General features: G+C 38.7%; 1 protein-coding gene across 1 annotated transcript in view, besides 1 other annotated feature; it reads left to right on the top strand.

Moving 5' to 3' along the window:
• The window catches only part of UBR1 (ubiquitin protein ligase E3 component n-recognin 1), a 163,142-nt gene that overhangs the window by 65,079 nt on the left and 70,706 nt on the right, over window positions 1–27,357 (top strand). Inside the window, exons 16-29 of the mRNA NM_174916.3 lie at window positions 2,728–2,789; window positions 3,077–3,187; window positions 4,367–4,432; window positions 4,681–4,782; window positions 8,329–8,392; window positions 10,892–11,016; window positions 13,132–13,184; window positions 14,297–14,399; window positions 15,531–15,579; window positions 15,977–16,131; window positions 18,159–18,258; window positions 19,585–19,685; window positions 23,779–23,865; window positions 25,091–25,272. Of these exons, the coding sequence (NP_777576.1) occupies window positions 2,728–2,789; window positions 3,077–3,187; window positions 4,367–4,432; window positions 4,681–4,782; window positions 8,329–8,392; window positions 10,892–11,016; window positions 13,132–13,184; window positions 14,297–14,399; window positions 15,531–15,579; window positions 15,977–16,131; window positions 18,159–18,258; window positions 19,585–19,685; window positions 23,779–23,865; window positions 25,091–25,272 (1,360 nt within the window). The remainder of the gene's footprint in view (window positions 1–2,727; window positions 2,790–3,076; window positions 3,188–4,366; window positions 4,433–4,680; window positions 4,783–8,328; window positions 8,393–10,891; window positions 11,017–13,131; window positions 13,185–14,296; window positions 14,400–15,530; window positions 15,580–15,976; window positions 16,132–18,158; window positions 18,259–19,584; window positions 19,686–23,778; window positions 23,866–25,090; window positions 25,273–27,357) is intronic.
• Window positions 25,263–26,142: an enhancer, noted in NCBI's record as "NANOG-H3K27ac hESC enhancer chr15:43307016-43307895 (GRCh37/hg19 assembly coordinates)". NCBI's record gives its function as "activates a minimal SCP1, AML or CMV promoter by ChIP-STARR-seq in naive H9 embryonic stem cells {active_cell/tissue: H9 hESC(naive)}" and the evidence as "EXISTENCE:reporter gene assay evidence [ECO:0000049][PMID:30033119]".

The raw sequence follows: 27,357 nt of genomic DNA, 5'->3' as shown, positions 1-27,357 counted from the left end.
TCCTCTCCAGCACTTGTTGTTTCCTGACTTTTTAATGATCGCCATTCTAACTGGTGTGAGATGGTAATCTCATTGTGGTTTTGATTTGCATTTCTCTGATGGCCAGTGATGATGAACATTTTTTCATGTGTCTGTTGGCTGCATAAATGTCTTCTTTTGAGAAGTGTCTGTTCATATCCTTCGCCTGCTTTTCAATGGAGTTGTGTTTTTTCTTGTAAATTTGTTTGAGTCCTTTGTAGATTCTGGATATTAGCCCTTTGTCAGATGAGTAGATTGCAAAAATTTTCTCCCATTCTGTAGGTTGCCTGTTCACTCTGACGGTAGTTTCTTTTGCTGTGCAGAAGCTCTTTAATTGGATCCCATTTGTCAATTTTGTCTTTTGTTGCCATTGCTTTTGGTGTTTTAGACATGAAGTCCTTGCCCATGCCTATGTCCTGAATGGTATTGCCTAGGTTTTCTTCTAGGGTTTTTATGGTTTAGGTCTTACATTTAAGTCTTTAATCCATCTTGAATTAATTTTTGTATAAGGTGTAAGGAAGGGATCCAGTTTCAACTTTCTACATATGGCTAGCCAGTTTTCCCAGCACCATTTACTAAATAGGGAATCCTTTCCCCATTTCTTGTTTTTGTCAGGTTTGTCAAAGATCAGATGGTTGTAGATGTGTGGTATCATTTCTGAGGGCTCTGTTCAGTCCCATTGGTCTATATCTCTGTTTTGGTACCAGTACCATGCTGTTTTTGGTTACTGTAGCCTTGTAGTATAGTTTGAAGTCAGGTAGCATGATGCCTCCAGCTTTGTTCTTTTGGCTTAGGATTGACTTGGCAATGCGGGCTCTTTTTTGGTTCCATATGAACTTGAAAGCAGTTTTTTCCCATTCTGTGAAGAAAGTCATTGGTAGCTTGATGGGGATGGCATTAAATCTATAAATTACCTTGGGCAGCATGGTCATTTTCACAGTCAACGCATGCAAATCAATAAATGTAATCCAGCATATAAACAGAACCAAAGACAAAAACCACATGATTATCTCCATAGATGCAGAAAAGGCCTTTGACAAAATTCAACAGCCCTTCATGCTAAAAAGTCTCAATAAATTAGATATTGATGGGACATATCTCAAAATAATAAGAGCTATTTATGACAAACCCACAGCCAATATCATACTGAAAGGGCAAAAACTGGAAGCATTCCCTTTGAAAACCCGCACAAGACAAGGATGCCTTCTCTCACCACTCCTATTCAACATAGTGTTGGAAGTTCTGGCCAGGGCAGTCAGGCAGGAGAAAGAAATAAAGTGTATTCAGTTAGGAAAAGAGGAAGTCAAAGTGTCCCTGTTTGCAGATGACATGATTGTATATTTATAAAACCCCATCGTCTCAGCCCAAAATCTCCTTAAGCTGATAGGCAACTTCAGCAAAGTCTCAGGATACAAAATCAATGTGCAAAAATCACAAGCATTCTTATACACCAATAACAGACAAACAGAGAGCCAAATCGTGAGTGAACTCCCATTCACAATTGCTTCAAAGAGAATAAAATACCTAGGAATCCAACTTACAAGGGATGTGAAGGACCTCTTCAAGGAGAAATACAAACCATTGCTCAACGAAATAAAAGAGGACACAAACAAATGGAAGAACATTCCATGCTCATGGATAGGAAGAGTCAAATCTAAAGTTATGAAGCTTTTCCCTACGTTTTCTTGTATGAGTTTTATTTTTTAGTTTTAGCACCTATATTTAAACCTGTGTTTAAAGTCTTTGATCCATTTTGAGTTAATGTTTGTATATGGCATAATTGATGTCATGTGATTTTATATTGCTTCTATTTTTATTAAAAATGCCTTTTTAATAAAAATAAAAATTTTTGTTAAAAATACCTTTTTAATAAAAATAAAAATTTTTGTAAAAAGTACCTTTTTAATAAAAATAAAAATTTTTGTTAAAAGTACCTTTTTAATAAAAATAAAAATTTTTGTTAAAAGTACCTTTTTAATGAAAATAAAAATTTTTGTTAAAAGTACCTTTTTAATGAAAATAAAAATTTTTGTTAAAAGTGCCTTTTTAATGAAAATAAAAATTTTTGTTAAAAGTACCTTTTTAATGAAAATAAAAATTTTCCTTAAAAATACTTAGATTAATTTTCATTTCTTTTGATACGTGGCTAAAGGCAGAATAAAGGTATCTTGAGAGACAGTTTGTCATTTTTAAATAAGGTATGAGCACACCTTGCATGGTGTAGGATTTTAAATACGTTAGTAATATTGTATTTCAAAATTAGAAATCAACAGTCTGCATTCTAGATTGTCACTTCTAAACTCAGTAAACATACATTTAACTCACACAAGTTTCTTTCTTTCTTTTTTAAGACGGAGTCTCACTCTGTCACCCAGGCTGAAGTGCAGTGGCATGATCTTGGCTCACTGCAACTTCCGCCTCCCAGGTTCAAGCGATTCTCCTGCCTCAGCCTCCCAAGTAGCTAGGATTACAGGCCCGGCTAATTTTTATATTATTGTAGAGACGGGCTTTCACCATGTGGGCCAGGCTGGTCTTGAACTCCTGACCTCAGATGATCCACCCACCTAGGCCTCCCAAAGTGCTGAGATTACAGGCATGAGCCACCGCGCCCAGCCAAATCAAATCGCACAAGTTTCTAAACTTGATGAGTTAACTAGTTAACAAATTGGGTTTGTTTTCTCATTTTCTCTCTCGTTTTTTTAACTTTAGGTCTTCATGTACGTTTAAGCAGGCTGGGTGCTGTTTCAAGACTGCATGAATTTGTGTCTTTTGTAAGTGATTCTACTAAGTATTGATTTGCTTATATTCTGTTTCTGAATATCTCTTGGTTGATGGACGAGAAGGAGATAATATTTAGAAACCCACCTGAGGAATTCCCATTTAGTAATTTTACATCTTCATATAGTACATTGTAATCTGAGTCACAGGGACTTAGACGTCATCTAGTTCAAGCTCTTCCATTTTTCACGTGAGAAAACTGAAGAATATGTAGTGGCATAACTTGGAGACACATCTAAGCTCTGTGAGAAATGATAAAATTGAACTCACTCTATTTCAGGAGGACTTTCAAGTAGAGGTACTAGTGGAATATCCTTTACGTTGTCTGGTGTTGGTTGCCCAGGTTGTTGCTGAGATGTGGCGAAGAAATGGACTGTCTCTTATTAGCCAGGTACAGCAAAGTCTATTATTCATATTTATGAATGTGCTCATTTTCTAATTTTTTTCTCTTATATGATTTTACCCTGTGTTCCTAGATTTTACTGAGTGTATGTTACTATTCTCTTGTATAAACTCCTAGAAATGAAAGTTCTAGGAACTATATAGACATTTCTCCTATCCTGTTCACTGTGTATTCCATCTGAATTATAAACTAGGATGCTTGTGTGATAAATTAAGGGAAAGCCGGTAGTACCACCAGAGTCCTCCCCATTAACATAGTTCTTTTCTGAGAATTACCTTACTTAGAGGCCTTTAGTCTTTCCACCATCTGTCTTAATTGAAGGCCACCTTGTAATTTTTTCTTCTATTTTGGAGTAAATATGCAGCAGTGCTTTTCTTTTCTTTTTTTTTTCCTTTTTCTTTTTTTTTTTTTGAGACAGAGTCTCACTCTACTGCCCAGGCTATGGAGTGCAGTGGTGTAATCTCAGCTCACTGCAACCTCTGCCTGTGGGGTTCAAGTGATTTTCGTGCCTCAGCCTCCCCAGTAGCTGGGACTACAGACATACACCACTATGCCCGGCTAATTTTTGTGTTTTTAGTAGAGATGGGGCTTTACCATGTTGGCCAGGCTGGTCTTGAACACCTGACCTCAGGTGATCCGGTCACCTGAACCTCCCAAAGTGCTGGGATTACAGGCATGAGCCACTGAGCCTGCCCTTGCATTTCTTAAAAGGTGGAGAAATAGGTCTTGTAAAGTTAGCACTTGGAAGAAAAATGGTATTATGCGTTTACCTCTGTAACAAACCTACATGTCTTGCACATGTATCCTGGAACTTAAAATGAAATTAAAAAAAAAAAAAGAAAAAAATGGTATTATGATTGAGTGTAGAAATTGGTTTACTTTTATTGAAGTAGGTATTTTAAACTTAGGGAAAATAAATTCTCTTGTTATACATGACAGTAATAACTAATATAGAACATTTTTAACCCTGAAGTGATTTCATGCCATATTTCTTCACTTCATCCTCGCTAGTCCCTTTAAGTGATTCATAGATTTACAACTTATTTTTGCCACTAAGGATTTTGAGGGGTTTCTAGCTTAGAGAAAGTTTTAAGGATAGGTTTTCTTGAGAATTTTGCTTGAAATAAAATAATTCTTTTAGGATTTATTCTACCTATTACCTTATAGGTGTTTTATTACCAAGATGTTAAGTGCAGAGAAGAAATGTATGATAAAGATATCATCATGCTTCAGGTACCTATTTAAATTGTTTCTGATATTTGTGTCTTCATCTTCCTTCTTGAATTCTTTCTAAGGAGAGAAGATAATGTAATAATTTTTAACTTAAAATACTCTCACTGTTAAACTGATTATGACTCATAGAAATAGAAGGGACTACTACATTATCTTCTGCAAACTTTTTAATTTTTGACAGTCCTACATGAGACAAAATGTTTCTCCATATAATACAGAAGAAATATGATGCTGGATTTCTTTCACAGATTGGTGCATCTTTAATGGATCCCAATAAGTTCTTGTTACTGGTACTTCAGAGGTATGAACTTGCCGAGGCTTTTAACAAGACCATATCTACAAAAGACCAGGTATACAACCTGTAAATTATGTGAATTAATTTTAAAGGAAATATTGTTACTATTTCAGTCATATTTTATTTCAGTCATATTTAGCCATATTTTTTAAAATTATACTTTAAGTTTTAGGGTACATGTGCACATTGTGCAGGTTAGTTACATATGTATACATGTGCCATGCTGGTGCGCTGCACCCACTAACTCGTCATCTAGCATTAGGTATATCTCCCAATGCTATCCTTCGCCCCTCCCCCCACCCCACCACAGTCTCCAGAGTGTGATATTCCCCTTCCTGTGTCCATGTGATCTCATTGTTCAATTCCCACCTATGAGTGAGAATATGCGGTGTTTGGTTTTTTGTTCTGGATCCCTTCCTTACACCTTATACAAAAATCAATTCAAGATGGATTAAAGATTTAAACGTTAGACCTAAAACCATAAAAACCCTAGAAGAAAACCTAGGCATTACCATTCAGGACATAGGCATGGGCAAGGACTTCATGTCCAAAACACCAAAAGCAATGGCAACAAAAGACAAAATTGACAAATGGGATCTAATTAAACTAAAGAGCTTCTGCACAGCAAAAGAAACTACCATCAGAGTGAACAGGCAACCTACAAAATGGGAGAAAATTTTCGCAACCTACTCATCTGACAAAGGGCTAATATCCAGAATCTACAATGAACTCAAACAAATTTACAAGAAAAAAACAAACAACCCCATCAAAAAGTGGGCAAAGGACATGAACAGACACTTCTCAAAAGAAGACATATTTAGCCATATTTTAAAAGTTATTTCTTAACCATACCTCCTGAAATGAGATGTATACATATGGCACACATATATACACATATATAATCTTTTTAATCTAGAAAAATTAGAATATGTAGATTAACAAAGAAAAAAAATCACATGAAAAACACTGCTTCCTAGAAATGATCACTTTTAAAGTTTTAGTGTCTTGCTTGTTTTTAAAACAAAAATTGTATCATTGTGAATGTGCTGTTTTGTAATCTGCTTCCTATGCTTAACAACATATTGTGAAAAGTTTTTTTTCTTGTCATGAAATAAGTACACAATTATATCATCATTTTTAATAACTATATAGGATTGCACTATATGATGCATTATACTTTAAAGTCTATTACTGAAGAGGTCTTTCTAGTTGGTTGGTCTTATAAACATTTGTAGCTCAGTATTTAAATACTTCTCTATTTTGTTAAGACACATTTTTAGAAGTGGATTTGTTGGATAAAACAACGTGTTTTTCTTTCTTTTCTTTCTTTTTTTTTTTTTTTTTGGAGATGGCGTTTTGCTCTTGTTGCCCAGGTTAGAGTGCAATGGCGCGATCTCGGCTCACCATAACCTCTGCCCACCCCGGGTTCAAGCGATTCTCTTGCCTCAGCCTCCTGAATAGCTGGGATTACAGGCATGCACCACCACACCCAGCTAATTTTGTATTTTTAGTAGAGACAGGGTTTCTCCATGTTGGCCAGGCTGGTCTCGAACTTCTGACCTCGGGTGATCTGCCCGCCTTGGCCTCCCAAAGTTCTGGTGAGCCACCGTGCCTGGCCAACAACATGTTTTTCTTCAGGCTCTTAATACATATTGTCAAATTGCTCTCAGAAGAAAGTCCTATTTAAGCTCTCTCTTTCAGTATGTACATCTATAAAGACATTGGTCTTTTTTATCTTTGTTGTCTCAGAGGTAATATACAAATTTTATTTTATTTATTTATTAATTGTTTTTGAGACAGAGTCTCACTCTGTCGCCCAGGCTGGAGTGCTGTGGCGCCATCTTGGCTCAAAGCAACCTTCTTCTCCCATTCTAGTGATTCTCTTACCTCAGCTTCCTGCATAGCTGGGCCTGCAGGGATAAGCCACCACGCCCAGCTCATTTATTTATCTATTTATTTATTTATTTATTTATTTATTTATTTATTTATTTATTTTTGAGATGGAGTGTTGCTCTGTCACCCAGGCTGGAGTGCAGTGGCACAATCGGCTCACTGCAGCCTCCACCTCCTGGGTTCAAGCCATTCTCCTGCCTCAGCCTCCCCAAGTAGCTGGGATTATAGGTGTGCACCACCATGCCCAGGTAATGTTTGTATTTTAGTAGAGACGGGGTTTCACCATGTTGGCCAGGCTGATTTCGAACTCCTGACCTTGTGATCCACCCGCCTCGGCCTTCCAAAGTGCTGGGATCACAGGCGTGAGCCACTACACCTGGCCAATTTTTTGTATTTTTAGTAGAGTCGAGGTTTCACCATGTTGACCAGGCTAGTCTCAAACTCCTGAGCTCAAGTGATCTGCCTGCCCTGGCCTCTCAAATTGCTGGGATTATAGGCGTGAGCCACCGTGCCCAGCCACGTCTTTATTGTTTGAATATTTGAAGTACCAGCCTATAAAGTAGCCCTTAACTATTTTGAATTCATGAAATCACATTATTTTATTCTTTCAAATTAGAAGTTACTCCTGCTAGTAAAATTTCTTTGGAAAAATAATAAATAAATATATAAATTTTTTTTTCCTTTTTGAGACGAAGTCTCGCTCTGTCGCCCAGGCTGGAGTGCAGTGGCTCGATCTTGGCTCACTGCAACCTCTGCCTCCCGGATTCAAGGGATTCTCCTGCCTCAGCCTCCTGAGGATTACAGGCGTGCTGGGATTACAGGCGCATGCCACCATGCCTGGCTAATTTTTGTATTTTTAGTAGAGACGAGGTTTCACGATGTTGGTCAGGCTGGTCTCAAACTCCTGACCTTGTGATCCACATGCCTTGGCCTCCCAAATTGCTGGGATTACAGGGGCGCACCACCACGCCTGGCTAAGTTTTGTATTTTTAGTGGAGACGAGATTTCACCATGTTGGTCAGGCTGGTCTCAAACTTCTGACCTCATGATCCGCATACCTTGGCCTCCCAAAGTGCTGGGATTACAGGTGTGAGCCACCATACCTGGCCTCATATAAAATTTCTAAATCAAATTTAAGAATTAAAGAACTCTGGGATAGCCAGGAGCAGTGGCGCATGCCACTGCACCTGGCCAAAAAATGTTTTTAAATGAAAAAAATAGAAGTTACTTGCAAAGGGCTAACATGAATAGGATATAAAATGCAGAGCTAATTTTTAGTTGTTTTATACTTAGTGAAAATCAGTATCTGATTTCATAGTTTAAATGAGGGGCGTGTTAGAGAAGGATACTCTCACCATATAACTGTTGGCAATCTATTTGAAGGCACTTTCTCACTAACGCAGGTAAGAAGGCAGCAAATAATAGAAGAAGAGTTGAAGATTAGCATGTGTGCTTATTTATGACTATGTGGGGGATAATGATAATGAAAATGATGACAGTATTTAGCAATTATATGCCAGGTATTGTTGAATTTGATGTCAAAAAAGGGAACTATTGTAACTATTTGTGCTGTGCACACATACAAAAAAAATACTGGACTGGATGAAAAATACTAGGCTGGATGGACCATGAGTCTCGTCCAGAAATGCATGTTTTATGGAGGTTTTTGGTTCTTCCATAACTAATTTACTCTTTTTCGATTCTATAGGATTTGATTAAACAATATAATACACTAATAGAAGAAATGCTTCAGGTCCTCATCTATATTGTGGGTAAGATTAAAACACAATGTTTTGAAATAGAACATGGGTTACTTTTTAGAGAGACCATTTATATGAACTATAATTGATCATTTTACTCCTTATTCGTATACTGCATTTAGAAAATCACCTTCACAAAAGCACAGATTTTACATTTTTATTTTTCAGTACCTGATTTGTAAATGTTTTGACTTATTTGGAGGTCCTTTAGTGCTAAAAATTTTATATATATTATAGGTCTAAGTGAAATATATTTTCATTATGTCATTCTGTTTAATTATTTTCTGCAAATATTGGTCATACTTAGCTTTGTTAAGGTTACTTAGAGAAAAGAAAAAGAGTGTTCTTTGCCAGAAATAATGTTTATCAAGTTATGACATTGACCCATAGAAATTCAGTTGAGATTAATATAAATATTTGCTGCAGAAACACTATATTCTAACCTATTGAATACAAATATATGCTATGTCATAGTCTGTGTTGATTTTACCACCTGGTACATTCATTGCCATCATCTTGTTCTGTTTTGTTTTGTTTTGTTTTTTTGAGACGGAGTCTTGCTCTGTCGCCCAGGCCGGAGTGCAGTGGTGCGATCTCAGCTCACTGCAACCTCTGCCTCCTGGATTCAAGCGATTCTTCTGCCTCAGCCTCCTGAGTAGCTGGGACCACAGGTGTGCGCCACCACGCCTGGCCAATTTTTGTATATATGTATATATTTTTTAATAGAGACGGGGTTTCACCATATTGGCCAGGCTGGTCTTGAACTCCTGACCTCATGATCTGCCTGCCTTGGCCTCCCAAAGTGCTGGGATTACAGGCGTGAGCCACCGCGCCCGGCTGTCATCTTGTTTTTGACTTCTCATTCTGGCTTTTGTTATTTACTTTACTGCACCAAACGCTGTTTGGTTTGAATAGTTCTTTAGTTGGGGATTCTAGCTGTTACCTAAGTCTGTAAACATGGATTCATTTTTACTTATTGTTTGTCAGAGAGCTAGTTGCTAGACCAGCTACATGTCTCAGCAGAAAGTGTAGTAAGCCTTTATTGCTGAGTGAGACTTAAACCTTCCTGTCCAGAATATGCCAGTTAGAAACAGATGGGAAAAAATGGGCAAATTAAGAATGTGTAAAAGATTTTAAAATTGATTATATACTTTTTCAAATTAGGAAAACTCAAGGGAAATTTTTGCATTTGTCCTTAGAGTGCTATGTAAAGAATCTCTAATATTGTAGTATAATTTTGCTGTTTTATTTTTACTGTTTTATTTTTCCTACTGTTATTTTACTATTATTGTGTTTGCCCAAATTTATTGTTTTTTTTTTCTTGTGATTTGATTTTTAGTTAATACTTGCTCTGCTCCTGAGTTTAAGTTCATTACTCTCAGGAGTCAACATTTTTGTTTAAAAAATTATATTTCTGATCTATAGTGGAAAATCATTAAGAAATAGAAAAATATTTGGATTTAGTATCAGGAACTCTAGTCTTGGCCTTGCTACCAACTTTCAAGAGCATGCAGTTGCATTCTTTGGGCCTCAGATTCCTGATTTGTAAAATGTGGAGGTAACCTACGTGATCTCTAAGGTTTCTTCTAGCACTGAAATTCTAGGGGATACTGTTTTTGGTGAAAAGTTATGGAAATTACAAAATGCTTTACAAATGTAAAGAGGAATGAATGTGTTGGAAACGAATTCACTTAACAAAAAGTCGTTCTTTGGCAAATTTGTAGAATTCATCAAATCTCTTAGGCAAGGGGTTTCTTTGTAACCCTCTTATAGATATCATAGGACTTCATACAGATACTGTAGTGTTGAAAATCAGTGGTAACATAAGGCCACATATTGTAAGCCTTCTTAAGGCAATCGGAATTAGATGCTGTTGACACCGGTGAAGTTCTCATACTTATTTTAGCTATTTTCTCTCTTCATTTGGCAGTTTATTGTGATGAAAATGGAAATCTGACCTTGTGGGCATTTTCACAGCACCAGTCATTTTTAATACATATTACTGTTTTGTCATTTAGCACATAAAGACATTTTAAAGTATTGTGTTTTTCAGTTTTCACTTTGTTCTTTGTTAAATAACAAGTAGAGACAAAATTGAGAAAGATCTTGAAAGAAAAGCTATTCAGTGATGGCCACTGCTCATTCAGATGCCATCAGCCATGTGTTCTGGGTTAGAAACACATGCTAATTTATTTGAGGGGCCTTGTTTATAATGTGTGAGTATGTGTATGTGTATGTATACGAATATGTATGTATATGTATGTGTGTTTGTTTGTATGTGTGTAAGTAAGCTAAGACAAGGCCTGGATTCTCCTTCAGGTCACAGTTTTCTGCCTCTGTCTTTCAACATAGATTCTTATTCAGATTTGGGAACACATTCAAATAACTTTTGCCCCTCTCTCACAGATTTAATTTAATGCAGTGTTCTGTGTGTAAGTGCTTCTGATGGGGAGAGATTTAAATAGAAAATAATTATTCTACTTTTTTTTTGTTTTTAATTATTTGAACTAGGTGAGCGTTATGTACCTGGAGTGGGAAATGTGACCAAAGAAGAGGTCACAATGAGAGAAATCATTCACTTGCTTTGCATTGAACCCATGCCACACAGTGCCATTGCCAAAAATTTACCTGAGAATGTAAGTCTGATTTTGGTTTTATCTCTATGTACCTCAAGATGGGGTAGATGTTTCTTTTTCTTTAATTGGAAACTACTTCAAAATTTTAGGCAAAAAGTCCTATATCATTACCTTATAGATGTAAACCAATCACCTTCATCCTTTAGTGGTATAAATTTTAATTCTGGGAGAAACTCCTTTACTTTTTGTTTACTTTAAAATAAAGATTACTCCAGAGGAAAAAAGGGAACTTCTTGAAAGGGAACTTCTGAAACTGGGTGGTGTGTTAATCTGGGTCTTCTGAGAAGCAGATCTTGTGACAAAACATTAAGATTTTTATTAAAGGCAATGGTAAGGGATCTGGGAATGACAAGGGGAGCCATCAGATTCTGATGCCAATCTGATTCCCAGTGAAATAAAGAGGGAAGGAAAGTTACATAGAAGCATCCCAGACTGCTGGGCTTCAATGGCCTTTCCATCTGTCCCTCCCCATGTCTCCCAGAATGAGCCTGCGTTAGTATCTCTGCCTTGCTCATTGTCTGGTAATGACTGGTGAGAAGCTTGGCCTTAGTTTCACCAGAGCACAGCAGTTGAGGCACGTGGTTATTTACTCCCTGTAATCAGATGTCTGCAAGGTACATTCTCATGACCACCACAGGTGGCATTTGTATTTTTGTATATACAGATACTGTGGTAATAGTCCTACAGATTATGAGTCTCATGTTTTTTCCCTCTGAGATTTGAATATGAGTTAGAAAAATGATTCTTAAAAAATAATTATACTTATTTGTGCTGTCAAGGCTTTCCAAAGAGGTAGAATAGAGATGTGTGTGTGTGTGCGTGTGTGTGTATTTGTTTTTATTTATTTATTTTTCTCCTTGAGACGAAGTCTCGCTCTGTCACCCAGGCTGGAGTGTAGTGGCACAATCTTGGCTCACTGCAACCTCCGTCTCCCGGGTTCAAGCGATCCTCTTTCCTCAGCCTCCCGAGTAGCTGGGATTACAGGTGCACGCCACCACACCCGGCTAGTTTTTATTATTTTTGGTAGAGATGGGATTTCACCATATTGGCCAGGCTGGTCTGGAACTCCTGACCTCAAGTGATCCACCCATCTTGGCCTCCCAAAGTGCTGGAATTACAGGTGTGATGTACTGCATCCGGCCAAGGAATATATATATATATATTTTTTTGTTGTTGTTTGTTTGTTTTTTTTTTTTTGTTTGATGGAGTCTTGGTCTGTTGCCCAGGCTGGAGTGCAGTGGTGCCATCTTGGCTAACGGTAACCTCCGCCTCCTGTGTTCAAGTGATTCTCCTGCCTCAGCCTCCTGAGTAGCTAGGACTACAGGCGCGCACCACCATGCCTGGCTAATTTTTATATTTTTAGTAGAGACAGGGTTTCACTATGTTGGCCAGGCTGGTCTCGAACTCCTGACCTCATGATCTACCCGCCTCGGCCTCCCAAAGTGCTGGGATTACAGGTGTGAGCCACTGTGCCCGGCCAAATATATGTATTTTTAAGGGAGGTTACCTTTCTTATCTTTACAAGCCTACAGGAATCTGTGAGCTTACTGTAGTAGTTTGACTAGGTCCTTATCTTAATTTTAAATGACTTTGTAAAAAAATAGTGTTCCCTATTTAAGGAAAAGATCAGGTCAATCAGAAAAAAACTTGCAAAAGGTAGAATATATTAGGACATCTAGACATGTATTGCTATAGATTAACTAGTTGGAGCTCATTAATTTTGTTACCTTGGTTTTAGGGATTAATACAGCATGGGCATGTACATAAATGATGAGGGTGATGAACATACTACATAAAGAAGAGCTTCTTTTCTTTGAAGTATTGGTAATACTATGTGTGTATGCTGTAGATGTATGTGTGTACTTATACACACATATGAAGGCAAACTTAGATAACCTTTCTTAAACAGTTTATATATACATCTTACCTCTTACGAAGTTGGTCTCCCAAAACGTAGATAATTGGTTTTAGACCTAATTTTTTAATAGTGGAAATTGATCTTTTTAAAATTATTTACAAAGTACTTCAGAGATGCAGTAGAAAATGTATTTCACTTCACAGAGAGGTGGAAGTCATTATATGAAGGTAAAAATGACAAAAATATTGTTTCAACAGGAAAATAATGAAACTGGCTTAGAGAATGTCATAAACAAAGTGGCCACATTTAAGTAAGTGCTTAATATTTATGCTTATTCTAAAAGGTAGTTTGATCTTTGTTCTTGTACTTTGGATACTTTGTAGAAGCTCTGAAGTTCTTGCCTGAACTCCCAAGAATAAGAGTGGAATACAGATTAGAAAGGGTGAGAATGAGGGGCTCACAGTAGACACTTAGCACCTGTTTGTTGAAAAAATGAGTGTTTTTGGCAAGTGAATGAGAAATACTCATTTATGATATTAGGTGATTTATTTAGATAGTAAGTAAATGAACTTTTCTGATACTCTCTTTCCCATTAATCTGAACCCATGATTTCATTTATTTTATAAATTTTTATTTTATATGCTAATTTTGGATTATTCTCTGGTAGAATTAAAACAGTATTTTATAATATTTTCATTTCAGTATATAAAATGGAAATACAAATTTAATTGTATTAATCTTTGAAATTTGAAAAATCGATACTGATAGTGAATTTCTACTTGTTACAGTATTGTGTTTACAGATACATTACTAGTTTCAAATAACTTTTAAAATAGGGTATAGCTTTTCTTATGATCTAGTAATGTTCATTGAAATATTCGACTTAGAGATTGGATAGAAACCAAAAGCTGTTTAATGTTTAGAACAAATATGGAGTACTCCTTTTGACCTCAGTGATTTTCCTTATAGTACTATATAAAGGATTCAGTAGTATATTTTCATTTGCAAATTACTAAGGTTATGATGTCTCCCTACTGTTTTAGATATGACCTTAGACAATGAAGTGTCTAAGGTCAATGAAGTGTTCTTTAGTTGAACAGACAACCTTTAGGCATCAGAGACTCTTAAATCTCTAAGAAGCTTTAGAGATAGGGCATGGTATCAGTTCTAGATAGTATAAAACAAACTTCTCCAGATTTGTTTGAATTTCATTATTATAAAACACAGCTTAGCTGTTATCAGGCTTTGTGTTCACAATGTAGGTTTTTAGTTTTATTATTGCAATGGAATTTTTCATAAGCTAAATGAGACATAATTTTTTTCTGTATATTTGACTTCTAGATTAATTTTTAGGTTTTTATTTTGTCTATATTTTATACTTCAAGAACACTGCAGTTCATCTTGTATTTTCCATCTATTTAGGAAACCAGGTGTATCAGGCCATGGAGTTTATGAACTAAAAGATGAATCACTGAAAGACTTCAATATGTACTTTTATCATTACTCCAAAACCCAGCATAGCAAGGTAGAAAAAAGTATCCTTTTCAGTAAATAAACCTAAATGCTTTATGCTTTCTAACTCCACAGAAAATTTTCTGCTTTTTCTATAGTTTCACGCTGGTTCTTATTAATAGAGGTCATTATGTCACCCAAGAATTAAAATTGAATCAATAATCTTATCTAGTATACAGGCAATATTCAGATTTTCCTGATTATACTACATATGTCTTTAATAGCTGTTTTGGGAAGAGGATTCAATCAAGCATCATGGACTTCATCATCACACACTCATTTGATTGTCATGTTTCTTTAGTTTTTGTTTTGTTTTGTTTTTTGTTTTTGTTTTTGTTTTGTGAAATGGAGCCTCACTCTGTTGTCCAGGCTGGAACGTAGTTGCACGATATCAGCTCACTGCAACCTCCACCTCCCAGGTTCAAGTGATTCTCCTGCCCCAGCATCCTGAGTAGCTGGGACTATAGGCACATGCCACCATGCCTGGCTAATTTTTGTATTTTTAGTAAAGACCGGGTTTCACCATGTTGTCCAGGCTGGTCTCAAATTCCTGACCTCAAATGATTCCACCCACCTCGGCCTCCCAACGTCCTGGGATTACAGGCGTGAGCCACCTCGCCCGGCCAATAGTTTCCTTTAATTTAGAAGATAATTCTTTTGCATTTTTTTCTTTTGTAACATCGGCATTTCTATAGAGTACCAAATAGATTCAGCTTAAACAGTTTTTGGCAAGAATACTATGTAAATGATATATTGCATCCCATTATTAGGCACATACGTCTTTTTGTCCCATGAAGGATCATGTTAAGTTTGATCAGTTAGTTAAGGTGATGTCTGGCTTTGTCCTTATCAAGTAAATACTTTACAGCCCATAGCATAGTACCCTGTGCATAATAGGTACTGGGTAAATATTTTCAGTAGAAAATAATGGAGACTAAGTTTTTGATCAGGGATATTCCTCATCTATTTTGCATTAGGTTTCTCTAGAACACAATTTTATTTCTAGGACAAAGAGGCATTTTGAATACATGCTTCAGTATATAAAGTATTTTAATAGGTGGTTGGGTCTTTCCTGACTGCTTTAATGTATTTCATTTGTTTCATGCTTCCAAAGCAGTATATTTAATGATAGATTTTTTTATAGGCTGAACATATGCAGAAGAAAAGGAGAAAACAAGAAAACAAAGATGAAGGTAAAAAGTGAGATTCTGAATTGACTCATTTTGACTATTTTCTGTGGTTTCACATCAGCAAAGCATATAGTTTTTTGTTGTTGTTGGTTTTTGAGAGTGGGCAACTCAAGGAAGTGCAAAGAGCTTTTTGCTTCTTATTCACATATTAAGATATGGTATATATCAGTAGTGATTGAATTTAAAATTGATAACAAATGTAGTTCATTTTGGGTGACTGATATAGTACTTACATTACACTTAACATTGATATTTTCAGTACTGGAAAGGTAGCAAAAAAGCATGTGTTGTTTTGCATGTAACCTATTATTTTTTGACATTTGCACTTTAGTATGTAGGATAACCCAAATAAAAATGTACCTGTTTGTCTCTTTCCCCATCCATTCCCCACCTCCTATAGCATTGCCGCCACCACCACCTCCTGAATTCTGCCCTGCTTTCAGCAAAGTGATTAACCTTCTCAACTGTGATATCATGATGTACATTCTCAGGACCGTATTTGAGCGGGCAATAGACACAGATTCTAACTTGTGGACCGAAGGGATGCTCCAAATGGTTTGTTTACCTGAAATATTTTCTCTACATCAAGTCCTAGAGTTCTTGGGGAGCTAGGGAAGATCTCAGGTCTAACTTCAGTTGGAACCACATCTAGAGCACCGGAAACATAGGGGTCATTAAAAATAGCTTACACACAGCACAAATTTTTTTTAGTGATCTCGTGTTTTTAGCATCCTTACTCTTGGGAACCATTTCTGTTTAATAAAACCCATGAAAACAAAAACAGGTGTACTTATGCTAATAAATTGACATGTTGTTATTGTGTCATGATTTTTTATATTTTTAATTTTACTTGAATTATAAGGAGACAGTATAATAAAATTTGAAGATAGGTCTAGACGTCAGTCTTGGGTTTCCCCACTTCCTATTTAAGGAGCAAATAATAATTTTCTCATTAGTAAAATGGATAAAAGTGTAATTATTCATAGAGGTAGGAGAATTAGCTAAAGTGAAAGCAGCTACTTTTCCTTGTTACTGTTGTAGATAAATACACGTTACTTAATTATGCCACGTCATGGTAGTTGTAACACCATATTTATTTATACCTGCCTAACTAAATGTTCCTTTTTCCTTGAGTATTGTTGGTCTACAGGTTCTAAATGCTGTCATTGCCATATGTGTGCCTCAATTTTTATTATAACACTGATAAATACATTCACTAGTAAATTTCAAACCATAGAGATATGTTTGAAACCAAGTTAAAATTTCTCTCCCTGAGTCCCAGTATGCTATATAGGACATAAGCATTGTTAAAGTTTTGTATATTCTGGAAATCATTGCACATTAGTGCATATAGATCTACTTATTCTTGATAGCTGCGTAGTCCATTGTATGGATATAATGTGTTTCAGTAGTCTCCTATTAATAGACATTCAGGTGTTTCTAGGTCTTTGCTGTAACAAAGAACAATAAAATGTACGTTCTTATACAAATGTTTTTGCATACCTAAGGGAGCGTATTTGTCATACTAATTCCTAATAGTTGGTATATACCTTTACATTTTTGATAGATGTTTTCAAATTGGCCTCCAAAAATGTTATACCAGTTTACTTTACCATCACCACTATGGTCAAAAGTGCCTACTTCCCAATACCTATGCCAGCTCTATATTTTACTAAACACCAAAATTTTTGCCACTGTAATAGGTGAAAAATAGGATGATCTTGTTTCAACTCATTTTTCTTTAAGTGAGGTTGAACTTTTTTTTTTTTTTTTTTTTTTTTTTTTGAGATGGAGTTTCACTTGTCACCCAGGCTGGAGTAGGCTGGAGTGCAGTGACACAATCTTGGCTCACTGCAACTTCCGCCTCTGGGTTCAAGCGATTCTCCTGCCTCAGCCTCCCAAGCAGCTGGGATTACAGATGCCCACCACCACACCTGGCTAATTTTGTATTTTTAGTAGAGACAAGGTTTCACCATGTTGACCAGGCTGGTCATGAACTCCTGACCTCAGGTGATCCACCCACCCAAACCTCCGAAAGTGCTGGGATTACAGAAGTGAGCCACCAGCTCCGGGCCAGGTTGAACATTTTTCATATGTGTATTCATCATTTCTCTTTCTGTAAACTGCTTAATGTGAACTGCTGAAACCTTTCCGTGTTTTTTACCTATCAGCTTTCTTATTTTTATACTTCTACTTAAAATAGATTTACCTTGCTAGGCATGGTGGCCCATACCTGTAATTGCAGCACTTTGGGAAGCTGAAGCAGGAGGATCACTTGAGCGCAGGAGTTTAAGACCAGCCTGGCCAACATAGTGAGATGCTGTCTATACCCCCCGCCCCCTCCAAAAAAAATTTAGCTGGGCGTGGTCGTGTGCACCTCTAGTCCCCAGCTACTCAGGAGGCTGAGGCAGGAGGATCACTTGAGCCCAAGAGCTTAAGGCTGCAGTAAGCTAGGATTGCCCCACTGCACTCCAACCTGGGTGACAGAGTGAGACCAGTCTCTGAAAAAAATTAAAATTAAATTAAAAATATATTTACCTGAAGAAGCGCAATTTTAAAGATCTCTTATTTTCCTCCTTCAGGCTTTTCATATTCTGGCATTGGGTTTACTAGAAGAGAAGCAACAGCTTCAAAAAGCTCCTGAAGAAGAAGTAACATTTGACTTTTATCATAAGGCTTCAAGTATGTTTGAGTATCACTCTTCAACACATTTGTCATTGAAAGTCTAGATCTTAAGGAGTTTTAATTTGTCAATCCTGAAAGTTTATATCTTACAGAGTTTTAATCTGTCAGTCCTTAAAACATAGGTAACCCTGAAATAATTTTTTTCCTAGCATTCTTAGTTTGTAACTAATATTTTCAAGTATACTAATATATTTTTTAATCCCTTACTATAATCTTTACTACAATCTTTTTACTACATGATCGCCCCACTTTTTTTTTTTTTTGGTTGCATATATTGGTATTTTTTAACTTTCATTCCTCATCTCAGTATTATCAAATATTTGCTGCTGTGTCAACCATAGCATTCAAGTGACATGTCTTAATAAGATATTGTTTCTGAATTTTAAATGATAGAAATCTGAATGATAACGTTCATTTTGCGTTGTATTCAACTTGGAAGAAAAGGATAGTTTTAAATTAGATTTCTAATAAATGCTACCTGATTAAGATAGTTTTTTTCAAAGCACATTCCAGGCATGTTGATTATAAAAACAATAGGAGACAAACATTTTCTATTTACATGCTGTATTTTTTAGATCCCTGAAGACATCAAAAACCTATTCAGTTTATGGATATACAGTCCTCCACTTCAATATTTTTGGCAATTTTGTTTCTCATTAAGCACTTTTGCTTAGATGTTGAGTCAAGCAGAGGAAAGACCAGAGACAGATATTTAGGGTAGCTTTCACTTAGCAGTGCCAGTAAAAGATGTAAGAGAGAGACTTAAAGTCATTTTTAAATTTAGTAGATCATATCATTGTAATCCAGTACTTCATATAATTGCAGATTTGTCCATTGAATAATTAATGAAGTTAAGGGATTGATTGGCAAACCTTGGTTATCAATGTAAATAACATTAACTAGAAATTGTAATTTGTACATAATTATGAAGACATAATTGACCCTCCATATCTGTGGGTTCCATATCTAGGGATTCATCCCATCGCAGTTTGAAAATATTCAGGGGGAAAAAGGAAAAAGGATGGTTGTCACTGTACTGAACATGTACAGACTTTTTTTTCTTGTCATTATTCCCTAAACAATATTATCTAATAACTATTTACATAGCATTTACATTGTATTAGGCATTATAAGTAATCTAGAGATGATTTAAAGCATACAGAAGCATGTGTATAGATTTTATGCAAATACTACACCATTTTACATAAGGGAATTGAGCATTAGTGGACTTTGATGTCCACAGGGGTCCTGAAACCAATTCCCTGAGGATACCAAGAGATGACTTTATGTATTTATGATGTGTGATTTTGTGTTTTAAAAAAGGATTGGGAAGTTCAGCCATGAATATACAAATGCTTTTGGAAAAACTCAAAGGAATTCCCCAGTTAGAAGGCCAGAAGGACATGATAACGTGGATACTTCAGGTAAACTAAAAAAGTAAAGTGATCATATCTTGGTTTAAATATTTAAGAATTCTCTGCTTGCCTCCAGTGTTAAACCACTGTACCATTGTAGACATTTACTACTGGTTTTCATAATCACTTATTTTTCATGTTAATAATTCTATTTTCCTATATTTTATTGTAGTTTTAAAAATAAACTAAGATTTATTCATTTTTTTTGTCGTTATTTAGTCAACTTTACTGAAAACCTACCATGTGCCATGCTCACTTATAGATTTCTAGATGGAACAAGGCAGACAAGGTGCTTACTATCATGGAACATATACTCCAGTTGAGGGACAGACATTAAACAAATAAATAAACAAAAATATCAGGGTAATTCAATAGATGAGTAAGGGGTTACTTTGGGTAATTAGGGAAGGCCTCTCTCAAAACACGACATTAGAGCTAAGACCTTAATGACATGGAGTCAGTCTTAGAAGAGTCTGGAAGAGTACTCCAGGAAGAGGGAACAGCAGTGCAAAAGCTCTGTGGTGGCCAGAAAGAAGGTCAGTATGGCTGGAACATAATGGGTGAGGGATGGAAAAGTGGGCAATGAGATCAGAGGGGTGGCCAGGGGCCGGATCTTGTAGGTCCTTATAAGTCAGCATAAAGTGATAATTTTTTAGGACAATGGGAAAATATTGGAGGATTTTAAGTGACCTAATCTATATTTGTACAAGATGGTATTGGCTGCTGTGGAGTAAATGGATTATGGGGGATAGGCATACAAGTAAGGAAACTGTTAGGAGACTGTTGCAGTAATCTTGATATGAAATAAGCATGACCTAGGCTAAGATGCAGATAGTAAGAATCTGAACTGATTAAGGTGCATGTCGAAGGTGTATGAAGATAAAATCTATAGTACTTGCTCATCAGTCTGATGGGAGAGATGAAGGAAATAAATCAAAGATGAGGCTGGGCATGGTGGCTAGCACCTGTAATCCCAGCACTTTGGGAGGCCAAGGCAGGCAGATCACCTGAGGTCAGGAGTTCGAGACCAGTCTGGCTAACATGGTGAAACCTCATCTCTGCTAAAAATACAAAAAATTAGCCAGGCATGGTGGGGCACACCTGTAGTCCTAGCTACTTGGGAGGCTGAGGCAGGAGAATTGCTTGAACCAGGGAGGTGGAGATTGCGGTGAGCCAAGATCGCACCACTGCACTCCAGCCTGGGTAACAGAACAAGAGTCTGTCTCAGAAAAAAGGAAATCAAAGATGACTCCTGGATTTGGTGCTTGAGCTATTGAGTAGATAGCATTGCCTTTGGAGACGAGTGAATTAAATAAGCAGGGGAGAGAGAGGCCAGGAATGTTACTTTAATGGAAAACCTCCACATAGAAACATAAAACCGGCCAGGCACGGTGGCTCACGCCTGTAATCCCAGCACTTTGGGAGGCGGAGGCGGGTGGATCACAAGATCAGTAGTTCAAGACCAGCCTGGCCAAGATGGTGAAACCCTGTCTCTACTAAAAATACAAAAAAAAAAAAAAAATTAGCTGGGCGTGGTGGCAGGCGTGGTGGCAGGCGCCTGTAATCCCAGCTACTCAGGAGGCTGAGGCAGGAGAATCGCCTGAACTCTGAGGGCGGAGGTTGCAGTGAGCCGAGATCGCACCACTGCACTCCAGCCTGGGCGACAGAGTGAAACTCTGTCTCAAAAAAAAAAAAAAAAAAACCTGAAGCCAGGATTATGGAGCTTCTGCACTCATTGCATTCATTAAGATATTCTGATGTTTTTAGGTAAGTATTGTTTTGATAATCAGAATATATAAAGTAGTTATTTTTCACATTCTTATCAATTGGAAATCTTGGTACTGATTTATACTTTTAAGAGGGCAGCTCTTCTTACCATTTTATTAGAAACAGTCCTTAAGCATGATGTAATATCATTATTGGCCTGGCGTGGTGGCTCACGCCTGTAATCCCAGCACTTTGGGAGACTGAGGCGGCGGGGTCACGAGGTCAGGAGATCGAGACCATCCTGGCTAACATGGTGAAACCCCGTCTCTACTAAAAATACAAAAAACATTAGCCAGGTGTGGTGGCGGGTACCTGTAGTCCCAGCTACTCAGGAGGCTGAGGCAGGAGAATGGCTTGAACCCGGGAGGTGGAGCTTGCAGTGAGCCGAGATAACACCACTGCACTCCAGCGTGGGCGACAAAGCGAGACTCCGTCTCAAAAAAAAAAAGATAGTGATATTATTAAAATTCTTCTTGAAGTAGATTTTATGAATATGTAGTATTTGTGTTAAACTAGCCAATATTATTTTAAGATTATAAAATCAAACGAAAGTAGGTAACTATTAAGAAAGTAAATCGAGGTACCATTTAGTTCAGCATTCATATCCCATAGAGATGGTGTTATGAATTGCAGATCTAGTCCTGAAAATTCATTTTCAATTAGAATACTAAATTTTATTATCAAAATATCTGAAAAGCACATGTATCTGCTGTTAAAAACATTAGATACTCTATCCAGATGGTTGATTTAAAGCTATGTTGTAGGTGTTCATTGTGGGAAATTTTTCCTCATGAGACCAAGGTTCTTTCAAAATATAAATAAATTTTACTGGGCACAGTGACTCACACCTATAGTTCCAGCACTTTGGGAAGCTAAGGTGGGTGGCTTGCTTGAGCCCAGAAGTTCAAGACCAGCCTGGACAATGTGGCAAAAACTCCATCTCTACAAAAAATACAAAAATTAGTCAAGGGTATGGTGGTGTGCGCCTCTAGTCCCAGCTACTTGAGAGGCTGAGGTGAGAAGATGGCATGAGCCCAGGAGACAGGTTGCAGTGAGCCAAGATTGTGCCATTGCACTCCAGCCTGGACGACAGACTGAAACTCTGTCGAATGAATGAATTAATGAATTAATGAATGCATTCATGCTGAAACCATGAGCTTTGTTAATAAGAATGAGGCAGTTCTGTATAAGCTGTTGTGGAAATGTCTCCGAGGATAGCTGGGCGCGATGGCTCATGCCTGTAGTCCCAGCACTTTGGGAGGCTGAGGTGGGCGGATCATGAGGTCAGGAGATCGAGACCATCCTGGCTAACATGGTGAAACCCCGTCTCTACTAAAAATACAAAAATTAGCCGGGCGTTATGGCGGGCACCTGTAGTCCTAGCTATTCAGGAGGCTGAGGCAGGAGAATGGCATGTACCCAAGAGGCGTAGCTTGCAGTGAGCCAAGATTGCACCACTGCGCTCAAGCCTGGGCGACAGAGCAAGACCCTGTTAAAAAAAAAAAAAACAACAAACCAAAAAAGAAATGTCGAAATGTCTCCGAAGATAAATGATTAAGTGAAAAGAGGATGTGTGAAACAGTATGTATGGTAAGATCTCTTTTTATGAAAATAGATGTAAATATAAAAATTATATATTCTGATAGAGGTGTTGTAATCAGGGAGAGGAGGATTTTACTTTCCATTTTGTATCTTTTTTTTTTTTTTGAGACAGGGTCTCGCTCTGTCACCCAGGCTGGAGTGCAGTGGCACAATCTCAGCTCACTGCAACCTTCACTTCCCAGGTTCAAGCGATTCTCCTGCCTCAGCCTCCCAAGTAGCTGGCATCACAGGCATGGGTCACCACGCCCAGCTAATTTTTGTATTTTTAGTAAAGACAGGATTTTGCTATGTTGGCCAGGCTGATCTCTAACTCCTGACCTCAGGTGATCCACCTGCCTTGGCCTCCCAAAGTGCTGAGATTACCCGCCTCCGCCTCCCAAAGAGCAGTCACCATTTTGTGTCTTTGTTTTTATGTGTTTTTGCACAAAAATATTATTTCAAATTAAAAAAATTTTTGTTTCCTGGCAAATCTCTTGAAAGCTAACAGAGGCATGCCCCCAGCCTACTGAATCTGCTGATTCTGCTACCAGTGGCCTCCTCCTCAGCTGGATTGCTCATTGACCAGGGGAGGCGTTTGTCACAGTCAGAGTCACTTTTTTTCTTCATATATTGAAATAGTTTAAGTGAAAGACATTTGGAGATATGATGCCAAAATCAGATTAGTGAATGTTTCTGTTCCTGGTCGGTCTAACAGTCTAACTAACTCTTTTAACGTTTCATCTGTTTTTCACAGATGTTTGACACAGTGAAGCGATTAAGAGAAAAATCTTGTTTAATTGTAGCAACCACATCAGGATCGGAATCTATTAAGAATGATGAGGTATGACACTGTAATAACACTGTAGTAATGGTGACATTCATCTCTGTCTTTGAACTTTACTGGTATAAGGGAGCTACTGCTTTTTTGTTAGGAGAAACCTGTTGATTGTGAAGTATATGAGATCTGTCCATCTTTTATTCATTATGCTTCTATATTGTGGAGATTAATGGTACGTGACAACTCAGTATAATTTTTGTATTTTGCAAAAACAGGAGAAATTGATATATCGTAGAGCTCTGTTAGAAATCCCAGCTCTTTGAGAGGCGGAGGTGGGTAGATCACTTGAGGTCGGGAGTTCAAGACCAGCCTGGCCAACATGGCCAAACCACGTCTCTAGTAAAAATACAAAAATTAGCCCAATGTGGTGGCTTGCTCATGTAGTCCCAGCTACTCGGGAGGCTGAGGCACGAAAATCACTTGAACCCAGGAGGCGGAGGTTGCAGTGAGCCAAAATCACGCTACTGCATTCCAGCCAGGGTGACAGAGCAAGATTCCATCCCAAAAACAAAAAACCAAAATACCATATTTTATTAACTTTTAATATATTTTAGTGACTTAAATTGGGATATGTCTCACAATAAATGACTTTCATCAACAGCATGTTTTAGAGAAATATAAGATAATGGTATATCTTAGATTCAATGAAATGCAATAATATTTGTGTTATTGCTATAATATAGTGAATCAGGTTTTGATGATTCTAAAATTTGTATTATTAGAATAATATTATTTGTGGTTATTACATGTTCAGTAAAACACACGATGTAAATTTGAATAGAAAATTAACATGCACCAAATGTATCTCAGTAATATTGTTAAAGTTAAAAAAATTGTTAAATTTCTCATTTTTCACAGTGCATTTAGAAGTAACTGTTAGAAATCAAGATTGTTTAAATTGTCAGTGATTAAGTGATTGACAAATGATTTTGAAATTGTTTTATCTAATTTTATTTCTTAAGGTACCTGCATTGAGTATAAAAGGCAGTTAATTGGATATTTAAGGTTCTTAGCTTTTTACAGTAAATTATTTAAATAACTAAAGGAATAATTAGTTGTATGATGTCATGCAGCCTGTAATGCTAATTTTGAAACATTAAACTGAATCCAGGATGTAAGGGGTAATCAGGGTTTCAGAATCTTATTCTAAGGAATTTTGCCATCCAAACAGCGTATATAAATGTTTAACAGTGGATCTTACCTAAATTTGTCATTTCTTAATACCCAGATTACTCATGATAAAGAAAAAGCAGAACGAAAAAGAAAAGCTGAAGCTGCTAGGCTACATCGCCAGAAGATCATGGCTCAGATGTCTGCCTTACAGAAAAACTTCATTGAAACTCATAAACTCATGTATGACAATACATCAGAAATGCCTGGGAAAGAAGATTCCATTATGGAGGAAGAGAGGTAAAATAAAGCAAACCAAAAATTACCAACTCAATTTTTTTTTTTTAAATTGATCATTCTTGGGTGTTTCTCCGAGAGGGGGATTTGGCAGGGTCATAGGACAATAGTGGAGGGAAGGTCAGCAGATAAACAAGTGAACAAAGGTCTTTGGTTTTCCTAGGCAGAGGACCCTGCGGCCTTCCGCAGTGTTTGTGACCCTGGGTACTTGAGATTAGGGAGTGGTGATGACTCTTAACGAGCATGCTGCCTTCAAGCATCTGTTTAACAAAGCACATCTTGCACCGCCCTTAATCCATTTAACCCTGAGTGGACACAGCACATGTTTCAGAGAGCACAGGGTTGGGGGTAAGGTCATAGATCAACAGGATCCCAAGGCAGAAGAATTTTTCTTAGTACAGAACAAAATGAAAAGTCTCCCATGTCTACTTCTTTCTACACAGACACAGCAACCATCCGATTTCTCAATCTTTTCCCCACCTTTCCCCCTTTTCTGTTCCACAAAACCACCATTATCATCATGGCCCGTTCTCAATGAGCTGTTGGGTACACCTCCCAGACGGGGTGGTGGCCGGGCAGAGGGGCTCCTCACTTCCCAGTAGGGGCGGCCGGGCCGAGGTGCCCCCCACCTCCCGGACGGGGTGGCTGGCCGGGCGGGGGCTGACCCCCAACCTCCCTCCCAGTCGGGGCGTCTGGCCGGGCGGGGGCTGACCCCCCACCTCCCTCCCTGACAGGGCAGCTGGCCGGGCGGGGGCTGACCCACACCTCCCTCCCGGACGGGGTGGCTGGCCGGGCGGGGGCTGACCCCCCACCTCCCTCTGGGACGGGGCGGCTGGCCGGGCGGGGGCTGACCCCCACCTCCCTCCCGGACGGGGCGGCTGGCCGGGCAGGGGCTGACCCCCCACCTCCCTCCCGGACGGGGTGGCTGCCGGGCGGAGACGGTCCTCACTTCCCAGACGGGGTGGCTGCCGGGCGGAGGGGCTCCTCACTTCTCAGATGGGGTGGCTGCTGGGCGGAGGGGCTCCTCACTTCTTAGAAGGGGCGGCTGCCAGGCGGAGGGTCTCCTCACTTCTCAGACGGGGCGGCTGGGCAGAGACGCTCCTCACCTCCCAGACGGGGTCGCGGCCGGGCAGAGGCACTCACATCCCAGACGGGGCGGTGGGGCAGAGGCGCTCCCCACATCTCAGACGATGGGTGGCCCGGCAGAGACGCTCCTCACTTCCTAGATGGGATGGCAGCCGGGAAGAGGCGCTCCTCACTTCCTAGATGGGATGGCGGCCGGGCAGAGATGCTCCTCACTTTCCAGACTGGGCAGCCAGGCAGAGGGGCTCCTCACATCCCAGACGATGCGCGGCCAGGCAGAGACGCTCCTCACTTCCCAGACGGGGTGGCGGCTGGGCAGAGGCTGCAATCTCGGCACTTTGGGAGGCCAAGGCAGGCGGCTGGGAGGTGGAGGTTGTAGCAAGCCGAGATCACGCCACTGCACTCCAGCCTGGGCACCATTGAGCACTGAGTGAGCGAGACTCCGTCTGCAATCCCGGCACCTCGGGAGGCCGAGGCTGGCGGATCACTCGCGGTTAGGAGCTGGAGACCAGCCCGGCCAACACAGCGAAACCCTGTCTCCACCAAAAAAATACGAAAACCAGTCAGGCGTGGCAGCGTGCACCTGCAATCGCAGGCACTCTGCAGGCTGAGGCAGGAGAATCAGGCGGGGAGGTTGCAGTGAGCCGAGATGGCAGCAGTACAGTCCAGCTTCAGCTCGGCATCAGAGGGAGACCATGGAAAGAGAGGGAGAGGGAGACCGTGGGGAGGGGGAGGGGGAAGGGGAGGAGGAGAGGCCAACTCAATTTTTGGAGGAAAAGTTAAATAGTCACTTTAAATTTTGCTTTTCCAAAATGGATTTTATGGCAAGAGAAATTCAACTATTTTCATTCTAGAAAGGTCAGAGTGAAGACTCTATGGTACTTATTGAATATAATTTTATACTGATAAATGCATTGAGTGTGCAGTAAAGTTAGGTTAGGAACCTTTATGCACAAAAAGATAACCAACCCGTTATTTTGTGTGCATTAGCACTTTTAGGTACAC

Source organism: Homo sapiens, chromosome 15, assembly GCF_000001405.40.
Source record: "Homo sapiens chromosome 15, GRCh38.p14 Primary Assembly".
NCBI lineage: Eukaryota > Metazoa > Chordata > Mammalia > Primates > Hominidae > Homo > Homo sapiens.
This window is presented reverse-complemented; position numbering and strand designations above follow the sequence as displayed.